The sequence below is a fragment of the Homo sapiens genome, chromosome 6, assembly GCF_000001405.40.
Source record: "Homo sapiens chromosome 6, GRCh38.p14 Primary Assembly".
NCBI lineage: Eukaryota > Metazoa > Chordata > Mammalia > Primates > Hominidae > Homo > Homo sapiens.
This window is the reverse complement of record NC_000006.12, coordinates 167,535,080-167,546,863: the sequence shown is the minus strand read 5'-3', so window position 1 is coordinate 167,546,863 and position 11,784 is coordinate 167,535,080.

Below are 11,784 nucleotides of genomic sequence, written 5' to 3'. Positions count from 1 at the left end.
CTGCCTCCCGTCCTTCTGTTCCTGGCATGCTTGGGAGCTGAAAAGGAGAGCAGCTCTTGAGGTCGCTCCACCGGGCAGGGCTGGGCAGGACAGAGGCCCCGCCTGAAACTGAGCCACCATGAGGCCAGCTCTGGCAGGGGTGCGGGCCAAGGTAAGGGCTGGCCTGACCAGGGCGCCCAGCGGCTGGACCTGAGCCGGGGTCCCTTTCTCACCCATGCTCCATGTCCAGCCAGGGTCAGCAGGGGCTCTGCTCCAGGCAGTCACTCTGGGACCCAGGCTGTGGTGACTCAGTCTGGACTTGCTATTTATGGCATTATTTCTGTCCTGCCAGAGTTCAGTGTGAGCTTAGAAATTAGGGAGAAAGATTCATAGTAGGCAGCTGTTCAGCTCGGTGAGATTTTTCAGACACCTGCTTCCTCAGCTGTGCATCTAGTACCTTGAATCAGCAAATCAGCAACCAGCCTTCCCTATTAGAATCACATCATTCAACAGTTTGCTTTCAGTGGAGTCCATCCCAACTAAAGTAAGTGTTAGACAGGCCAGGTCCAGATGTGGGCCATGCAGACCTCAGGGCCTACAGGGCTGCCACCGGACTCCCGAGACTCCAAAGGATTTGTAAATGATTCCAAGCAACTTGTGCTTGGGGAAAGAAGAGGAGCTGCATGTCACATCTGGGCACCAACATTTAATTTTGGGATCCTTTAGATAGCAGGGAGAGTTGGTAAACTGATTTTTTTTTAAACAGGAAGCATTTGACAATCATTGGCAAACTTGGAGGAAAAGTTTGGGGCACATTGGATATGTCTTTAAAAAAAACCACCCTTTTAAACAGAAACATCTGCTATTCTAGTATTAAAGGCTTTGGAATTTGGGAGCTGGTGAGGGATGCACATGCTCGTGTCACCTCATATTCACACCTTAAGAACCAGAGACGTGACGGATTGCTTGACCTTATGCCCAATTCCAGAAGGCACTCAACATTGGCAGGTGTATTAAGAGAAAAAAAGTCCTCTTCCCATCTCTAGAAAGAAATTATCCGGGCATGCTGGGGCATACCAGCCATCTAGCTGCGTGACAGGTGGAAGCAGGAAGGTGGCTTGAGCCAGGAGTTCAGATCTGTAATAAGCGAGGATTGTGCCACTGCACTGCAGCCTGGGCAAACAAGACCTCTTCTCCAAAGACACGGTCCACTGACCAAAGACCCTCAGAGTGCCTGTGATGTCAGAATTAGTCAGGCACTAAAATTACCCGGCTTTTTTTCACTATTCTCAAGCAGGCGGTGGTGTTTCCACTGGTGCAAAATATGCACAAGGACATAGGAAGCTAAATGTCTTTATTTTATGTATTTATTTATTTTTGGGTTGGAGTCTCACTCAGTCGCCCAGGGTGGAGTGTAGTGGCCCGATCTCGGTTCACTGCAACCTCTGCCTCCCAGGTTCAAGCGATTCTCCTGCCTCAGGCTCCCAAGTAGCTGGGATTACAGGGGCCCACCACTGCACCCAGCTAATTTTTGTATTTTTAGTAGCGATGGGGTTGCACCATGTTGGCCAGGCTGGTCTTGAACTCCTGACCTCACGTGATCCACCCGCCTCGGCCTCCCAAAGTGCTGGGATTCCAGGCATGAGCCACCGCACCTGGCCTGCAGCTAAATGTCTTCAAAGAGTTCTATGTTTTGATTTCTAATGTATTTGTAATTCACCTAACCAATCATCTAGTCTAGTATATTAATGCATTTATGAATTGAAAGAAAGATGACAGTACAAAAAATTAAGCTTTTTGTCTTCTACAATCACCACTGCAGAAGAGAAGCAATGTAGTCAATGGTGTGCTAGATGTTAACGGTTTTCATCTTGAAGTGATACACACTTCTGCTCAAAGCACATCACACGGCCACATCAAACCTCATGAAGGGTGAAGTGCAGTCTCACGAGGGTGGAAGGAGAAGAAACGTTTGTTAACTGCCCTAATAACTTCCCACCAATTTTGTGAAGAAGAGAAACATGTTTGAAGCTGTCTTAACAAACATATGTAAGAAACATATCTATATCTTTACACTGCATGTCATTTTCATATTCTTTGTAATTATCTGTGTTTTACAGCTTTTTTGTTTTTTTTTTTTGAGACGGAGTCTCACTCTGTCACCCAGGCTGGTGTGCAGTGGCGTGATCTCAGCTCACTTCAAGCTCCGCCTCCCAGGTTCACGCCATTCTCCTGCCTCAGCCTCCCAACTAGCTGGGACTACAGGCCCCCGCCACCACGCCCGGCTAATTTAGATTTTCATAATAAATATTATTTTTATAATCTAAGCAATAGCAAATTAAACAATACATGTTTTTCTAAAGGAACTCACAGAGTGTCATAGACAGGAAGTCGGAGTAGCCAGAAGAAGTTTAGATGAAATCATCTCAAATATCTGTACAGCTGTTCCAACTTACAGCCTGCTGAGTCTTCCCTTAGGAAACCGTGTGCCTGTCAACGTTCCTGTGGGATTTGGCCAGATGTGGAGTGGGGTTCAGGCACGTGGTTCTGGCCTCATCGTGGGGTGTGTCTGGTGAGGCTCTGCCTGACGTCTCCAATCATACTGTTTATTTAAAAAACAGTAATGAGACAAGAAAAGAAACAACTTTGCAAGGTATTTATTTTCAGTTCTGGCGATAGGGAGGAAAGGCTGACGCAGTAGACAGGAATCTCACTCACTGAAATTAGGCCAATCTGAAATCTATGTTTTCTGCCAGGCAGAAAAAAGAAAAGGTGTGATTTTTGTTATTTTTAATTTTTATCTTATTGGGAACAGAGGAAATCATTTCGCCATCCTGTTTTTTTCTAGGAGGTTTATTTAAGTCCCTCTGTTTTCCCCTGTGGTAGAGGTAACGTTGATGAAGACAGCTGGTTGAGAGACTTATTAACGAAGTCATCTGCTTGTATTTGGATGCAGCTCGGCCATGAAGAGTGCTGAGAGAAAAAGAAAAGCAGTTTTCCATGAGATGAGAATGGTGCTAAGACACCGTTTGTTCTGCTGGAAGCCCCAGGGGGATTTTGCCTCTCCCCAGGCTGGCCCCCGTTCAAGCTCACTTTCTGACTAACGAGACTGTCCGACAGGCCTGCAGATGAGCTCCTGTGATTCCCACCTTGTCTCTGCAATAGAAACTCCAGAGTGTCAAACTCACTTTGTGGAGCTGTGCTGTTCTCCTCTTTCATTTTCCTGTGTAAGGTGTGACCTGGGAAAGCCTTGGAAAATCTAGCTCAGCCCAAGGGGGGATCCTTAAAGGCAAATGCCCATAAGGGAGCTGACCCAGGAGCCCCTGACAAGCAGTTCCATTGCTCCGCGCAACAGCATCCCCAGCTTGGGCCCGTGGTTCACGCCACCTAACAGGTGGGGTTGAAGCCACGGTGAAAATACTAGTTTCCTAGTTGTGCCATCGCCTCTTGGTGTGAGGACCACACTGCACTGTAAAGGCCAAACATCCCTCTATGTGGAATGCTTTCGCCAGTTTGCTTTTTCAAGCAATGATTATTTTATTATGAGATATTTTAAGCTTGTAGAAAACAATAAAAAGAAAAACTGTCTACATTTTCATTCAGTTCATAATGCTGTCTGTCATTGTTTTGTTTGGTTTTGTTTTTGAGACAGAATCTTGCTCTGTTGCCCAGGCTGGAGTGCAGCGATCTCAGCTCACTGCAACCTTCCCCTCCCAGGTTCAAGTAATTCTCCTGCCTCAGCCTCCCAAGTAGCTAGGATTACAGGCACCCACCACCATGCCCAGCTATTTTTTTTTTTTTTTGTATTTTCAATAGAGACAAAGTTTCACCATGTTGGCTGGTCTCGAACTCCTAACCTCATGTGATCCACCAGCCTTGGCCTTCCAAAGTGCTGGGATTACAGGCATGAGTCACTGTGCCTGGCCCCATATTTGTCTTCTAATTGAGTGATTACCCTATTTACATGTAATGTAATTTTTTTTTTTAGATGGAGTCTCGTTCCCGTCGTGCAGGCTGGAGTACAGTAGCACAATCTCGGCTCACTGCAACTCCACCTCCCAGGTTCAAGAGATTCTCCTGCCTCAGCCACCTGAGTAGCTGATATTACAGGTGTGTGCCACCAAGCCCGGCTAATTTTTGTATTTTTAGTAGAGACAGGGTTTCGCCATGTTGGCCAGGCTGGTCTCAAACTCCTGACCTCAGGTGAACCACCCGCTTTGGCCTCCCAAAGTGCTGGGATGACAGGTGTGAGCCACTGCACCCAGCCTGATGTGATTATTAATATTGTTAGCTTTAGTTCTATCATTTTACTATTTGTTTCATGTTATCTCGTTTGTTTATTGTTGCCTTTTCCTATTTTTTGCCTTGTTTTAAATAAATTGTGTACTTTTCATTTTATTTAATTTTTTGTTGAATTATTAGCTATAACTATTTTTTTCCAATTCTAGTGATTGCTTTAGGGTTAATTGTACACATCATATCACAGCCTGCTTTCCTGTTATTCTACCACTTCCTGTATAATTTATAAACCTTACAATAGTATATTTCCATTTCTTCCCTCCCAGTTTTCATGCTGTTGCTGTCATATGTTTTACTGTTTTACATATAAATTATAAACCCTATTATACTGTGCTGTATTTCTCATTAAACACTCATTTATGTTTTAAAGATATTTTAAAATAAGGAAATTATTTTATATATTTATATATAAAATATATATTTGTATTATATTACATAAATATATATATTTATATATAAAATATATATTTGTATTATATTACATAAATATATATATTTATATATATTTACAAAATGTATATTAAAAATGTAGTTACAAATTCCAGTATTCTTCATTCTTTATTGATACCATCTGGTGTCAATTTCAATCTACCTAAAGGACTTCCTTTTAGCATTTTTTATAACACAGTTACGTTGATAATGAATTCTTTCAACTTTGGTATTTCTGAAGAAGTCTTCATGCTGCCTTTGGTTTTGAAAGCTCTTTTCCCTGGGTATAGAACTCTAGGATGGCAGGGTCGTTTTTCTTTTCCGTTTCGTACCTTCAAGACATTGCTCAACTGTCTTCTTGCTTGCATTCTTTCCAAAGAGAAATCTGCTGTCATTCTTATTTTTGTTCCTCTGCACGTAGCGCATAACAAAAATTCAGTGTTTGTTCTCTGGCTGCTTTTAAGATTGATTCTTTATCACTGGTTTTGGGCAATTTATTATAATGTATTCTGGTGTAGTGTTACTCATATCTCTTGTGCGGGGAGTGATTGAGTTTCTCAGAACTGTGAGTATGTAGTTTAAAAAATCAAATTTGAAGACTTTTAACCATTATATCCTCAAATATCTCTTCTGTACCCTTCTCTCTTCTCTTCTTCATGGATTCCAATTACATGTATGTTAATATGCTTGAAGCCATCCTGTAGCTCCCTGACACTATTTTCTAACATATTACGTTTTCCTCAGTATGTTTCATTTCGGATATTACTATTGCTGTATCTGTCAGTTCACTAACAATTTTCTATTAATTCCATTGTCTGTGTATTCCATCCATGCATTTTTTAATCTAACCCTCTGTAGTTTAGTCTCCAGACGTTTGATTTAGGTTTTCCTTCTTATATCCTACACGTCTCCCCTTAGATTTCTGCATAGGTGGATTACAGTCACTGGTTAGGGCCCTTGCCTGCCGTTCTGACGCCCATGTCATCAGTGTGAAGTCCCCTTAGATTGACTGATTTTTCACCTCATTAGGGGTTGTATTTTCCTGCTTTTGTACATGACTTTTACATGCCTGATAATCTCTGATTGGATCCCAGACATTGCGAATTTTAGCTTACTGGGTGCTGGGTATTTTTACATTCCTAAAAATATTCTTGAGCTTTTTCCCTGGCACATAGTTATGTTACTTGGAAACAGTTCGATCCTTTCCATTTTGCTTTTCAACATTTGTCAGGCGGGTCCACAGCCATGTATAGTTTAGGGCAAATTCTTCCCTGTGACAGAGCCAGGGCCCTTCTGAGTGCCCCGTCCAGTGTCCTGTGGAATGCGAGGTGTTCTCTCAGGCACTGTTCCAGCCTCTCTGTGAGCACAGCCTCTCTTCCCTCTTTCCCTCTCTTTTCTTTTCTTTTTTTTTTTTTTTGAGATGGATTTTCACTCTTGTTGCCCAGGCTGGAGTGCAATGATGCAATCTCGGCTCACCACAACCTCTGCCTCCTGGGTTCAAGCGATTCTCCTGTCTCAACCTCCCGAGTAGCTGGAATCACAGGCATGCACCACCACGCCCGGCTAATTTTAGATTTTTAGTAGAGACGCAGTTTCTCCATGTTGGTCAGGCTGTTCTGAAACTCCCAACCTCAGGTGATCCACCCACCTCGGCCTCCCAGAGCGCTGGGATTACAGGCATGAGCCACCACGCCCAGCCCCCTCTCTTCTTTTCACAGGATTCTTTCCTGGCCTTGTGCAGTCTCCTCACACAATCAGGACCCTGCTGAACGTGTGTGGGGGACCCTTCGCTGTCTCTGGGCTTCTGTGGAGGTGCCACTCCCTCCTCTGGGGTGCTCATTCTCGCCTTGAATTCCAGCTGCTTTGTTCTCTCCCCTCTATATCCTTTCACTCGGGAACCCGCAGAGATCCACTCGGGCCCTCCCTTCCTGCACTGAGTCCTGTAAAGCTCTCTGGTCAGGAAGCCGGAGGAAGCGAGGGCTTTCATCACCTGCTTCTGGCTCTCGGGGATCATTGTCTTTATGGCCTGTGCCCACCTTTGGAAGCTGCTGTTTTAAATATTTTGTATCTTTTTAACTACACTTTGGTTTTAGCAAACAAGACAGTAAATTTGGTTCCTCTCACCCCATATTTTCTGGAATCGGATATCCTTAAATTTTTTTTGTTTATTAATTTTGTATCCAAATATCTCACTGATGTCTTTTAATAATTCTAACAAAAGTATTTTAAAATTTCTGTGTGGACAAACATACTGACTGTAACAAAGTATCGTTTTGGTTTGTTCTTTCCCCTTTCCAAGACAATCTTTTATTTCTTTGTTTTTGTTTTTTCTGTTCTGCCCACAACATGTGGTTCAGGCACACCTTGCTTTATTGTACTTCACTTTAGTGCCCTTTGCAGATATTGTGGGTTTTGTAAATGGCAACCGTGCATTGAGCAAGTCTATCGATGCCATTTTTCCAATAGCACGTGCTCCCTTTGCATCTCTGTGTGCATTTTTAGTAATTCTTGGAATATTTCTAACTTTTTCATTGTTATATCTGTGATGATGATCTGTGATCAGTGTCTGTGATGTTAGTATTGTAATTTTTGGAAGATGCCATGAGCCACACCCATGTAAGACAGGGAACTTAATCATAAATGTGCGGTTTTTTTTTTTTTTTTCAGCTTTTATTTTAGGTTCCTAGGGTACACGTGCAGGTTTGTTGCCGGGGTATATTGTGTAATGCTGAGGTTTGGGATACAAATGATCCTGTCACCCAGGTGCTGAGCGTAACACCCAACAGTTAGTTTCTCACTCTTGCCCCTCTGCCCTCCTCCCTCTAGTGTCCCCAGCGTCCCATCTGTATCTCATGAGCTCCCAATGTTTAGCTCCCACTTATAAGTGAGAACGTGCAGTATTTGGTTTTCTGTTCCTGCATTAATTTGCTTAGGGTGATGGTCTCCCCCTGCGTCTATGTTTCTGCAAAGGCCATGATTTTATTCTTTGTTATGGCTGCATGGTATTCAATGGTGGATATGTACCACATTTTCTTTATTCAGTTCACTGGTGATGGGCACCTTCGGTTGACTGCATGTGTTTGCTATTGTGAATAGTGCTACGATGAACGTGTGAGTGCATGTCTTTTGGTAGAATAATTTGTTTTCTTTTGGATGTCTACCCAGTAATGGGATGGCTGGATGAATGGTATTTCTGTTTTAAGTTCTTTGAGAAATGTCCAAACTGCTTTCCACGGTGGCTGAACTAATTTACATTCCCACTCACAGTGTATAATTGCTCCCTTTTCTCAGCAGCCTTGCTAACATCTTTTTTTTTTTTTGACTTTTTAATAATAGTTGTTCTGACTGGTGTGAGATGATATCTCACTGTGGTTTTGATTTGCATTTCTCTGATGATTAGTGATGTTTGGCATCTTTTCATGTGTTCATTGGCTCCTCATATGTCTTCTTTTGAGAAGTATCCATTCATGACTTTTGCCCATTTTTTAATGTTTTTTTTTTTTGCTTGTTCAATTGTTTAAGTTCCCTATAGATTCTGGATATTGGACCTTTGTCAGATGCAGAGTTTGTGAATATTTTCTCCCATTGTGTAGGTTGTTTACTGTGTGATAGGTTCTTTTGCGTGCAGAAGCTCTTTAGTTTAATTGGGTCCCACTTGTCAATTTTTGTTTTTATTGCAACTGCTTTTGAGGACTTAGTCAGAAATTCTTTCCCAAGGCCTATGTCCAGAATCATGTTTCTGAGGTTTTCTTCTAGGATTCTCATAGTTCGAGGTCTTACAATAAATGTGTGTTCTCTCGGCTCCTCTGGCTGGCTATTCCATCGTCTCTCTTCCTCTACTCAGGCAGGCCCCCTATTCCCCGAGACACAACAGGATTGAAGTCACTCCAGTTCATGATCCCACAGTGGCCTCAAAGTGTTCATGTGAAAGAAAGACTTGCCCGTCTCTCACTCTAAAACAAAAGCTAGAAATGATTAAGCTTAGTGTGAAAGGCTGTCAACAGCAGAGGTAGGCTGAAAACTAGGCCTCTTTCTTCAAACAATTAGCCAATTACATTTGTGAATGTGAAAGTAAAGGTCTTGAAAGACTTTAAAAGTGTTACTCCAGTGGACACATGAAGAGATAGAGCATTATTGCTGATACGGAGAAAGTTTTAGTGGTCTGGGATAGAAGATCAAACCAGCCAAACATTTCCTTAGGCCAAAGCCTAAGTCAGAGCAAGGTCCTAACTCTTCAATTCTGTGAAGGCTGAGAGAGGTGAGAAGGATGCAGAAGCTAGCAGAGGTTGATTTGTGAGGTTTAAGAAATGAAGCCATCTCCATAAAATAAAAGTGCAAGGTGAGGCAGCTGATGGAGAAGCTGCAGCAAGTTCTCCAGAAGATCTAGCTAAGACTGTTGACGACGATCACTACACTAAACAACCGATTTTCTTTTTTTTTTTGAGTGAATTTCCATTTTATTCATAAGTTAAAATTTTAATTTATGATATGTTAAAAATTGTATAAATTCAAAACTATTTTACAAAATCTATCAGAAAGGGGTCAGATTTCATGGTGATGCACAGTTGTTTTTTAAAATAAAAATTCAACATAAGTTTTCTTTTTCCTTCCCCAAACCGAAATACAGCTTCCTTTTCTCCCTCTTTTTTTCTCTTCTTTCCTCCCTTCTTACCTTCCCTTCTCCCTTTCCTTTGAGTCCTGTAGGGCATAGCTAAATTTTATATAGGGGCCATGTTGAATGTGAAAGACAACGTGTTCAACAACAGATTTTCAACGAAGATGAAACAGGCTTCTATTGGAAGAGATGCTATCTGGGCCTTTCATAATTAGAGAGAAGAAGGCAATGCCTGGCTTCAAATCCTCAAAGGACAGACTGACTCTCTTGTTAACGGCTAATGCTGCTGGTGACTTTAAGTTGATGTCAAAGCTCATTGACCATTCCAAAATTCCTACGGCCCTTAAAAATGATGCTAAATCTACCCTACCTGAGCTCCAGAAATGCAACAATAAAGGCTGGAGGGCAGCACATCTGTTTACAGCAGGGTTTACTGAATATTTTAAGCCCAATGTTGATATCTACTGCTTAAAAAAAAAGACTTCTTTCAAAATATTACTGCTCATTGACAATGCACCTGGTCATCCAAGAGCTCTGATGGAGATGTACAAAGAGATTAATGTTGTTTTCATGCCTGCTAGCACATCTATTCTGCACCCCATGGATCAAGGAGCCATTTTAGCTTTCAAGTTTTATTATTTAAAAAATACATTTTGTAAGGTTGAAGATACCATAGAAAATAATTCCTCTGATGGATCTGGGCAAAGTCAATTAAAAACCTTCTTGAAAAGATTCACTATTCTAGGTGCCATTAAGAACATTCATGATTCATGAGAGGAGCAAAAATATCAACAATGACAGGACTTTGGAAGAAGCTGATTCCAGCTCTCATGGGTGACTCTGACAGGTTCATGATTTCAGGGGAGGAAGTAATTGTAGATGAGGAGGAAAAAGCAAGCAAACTAAAATTAGAAGTGGAGCCTGAAATGTGACTGGATTGCTGCCATCTCAGGATAAAACTTAAACGGATGAGGAGTGGCTTCTTTCAGGTGAATAAAGAAAGTGTTTTCTGGAGATGGAATCTACCCTGGTGAAGATGCTGTGAACACTGTTGAAATGAAAACAAAGTGTTTTTTGTTTGTTTGTTTGTTTTTTGACAGAGTGTCACTCTGTCACCCAGGCTGGAGTGCAGTGGCACAATCTCAGCTCACTGCAACCTCCGCCTGCTGGGTTCAAGCAATTCTCCTGCCTCAGCCTCCTGAGTAGCTGGGACTACAGGTGCAAGCCACCATACCCTGCTATTTTTTTGTATTTTAGTAGAGATGGGGTTTCTCTGTGCTGCCCAGGCTGCTCTTGAACTCCTGAGCTCAGGCAATCCTCCTGCCTCAGCCTCCCAAAGTGCTAGAATTACAGGCATGAAGGATTTCTAATATTCCGTAAACTTAGTTAATATAGCAGGGGCTGGATTTGAGAGGATAGCCTCCAATTTTGAAATAAGTTCTACTGAGGGTAAAATTCTATCAAAAAGCATCACATGCTATAGAGAAGTCCTTCCTGAAAGGAAGATTCCATTGATGCAGCAAACTTCATCATTGTCTTATTTGAAGACACTGCCACAGCCATCCCAGCCTTCAGCAACCACCACTGTGATCAGTCAGCAGGCATCAACATCCAGGCAAGACCCTTTACCAATAAAAAAGATTTCAACTTGCTGAAAGCTCAGGTGATCATTAGTATTTTTAGCAATCAGGTATTTTTAAATTAAGGCAGGTACACTGTTTTTTAGACACAATACAATTGCACCCTCATTTACTGCATTATAGTGTAAACATAACTTGTAAACGCACTGAAAAACCAAAACCATTTGTGTGACTTGCTTTATTGTGATAGTTGCTTCATTAGGGTCATGTGGAGCTGAACCTGCAGTGTCTCTGAGGTGTGTTTGTGGACAAGGTGTCCATTTACTTTGCAGTCTCAGTATCCCAAAAAGAAGGGTTTCCCAAGCTGTAAGGACTTCTTCACCTGGGAAATGCTTTCTTAAATTTTTTGAAACATCGTCATTTTTTTTACTCTCACATTTGTATTATTTTGAATTAAATCCATTGTTATTGAGAATGTATCTGCAGAAAAACTGCAAATTTTGTGAGGATGTGTCTACCTAGAAAATTTTGCAATTGTTTTTGACCTGAGACCTAGAGTTATAATACATCATTAGATTGCTTTTATAAAATTTTCAGCTTAAAGCTATTTCAGCTACCCAAATAGTATCATTTTTTGCTTTAGTTTGTCATTTTAAAAGCATTTATTATTGCAAAGCAGTAAATGTGTATTTAGAAACTAGAAAACAGAAAAAAATAAAAATGTTGAGGTCACCATTGTTAACACCATAGTGTACGTATTCTAGGTCTTTTTCTTTCTTCCTTTCTCTATCCATATTTTTAATATTCATTCTTTTTTTTTTTTACTAAATTGACATTCTATTATAATCGTATTTTGTCATCAATGTTTCTTCATTAATTATC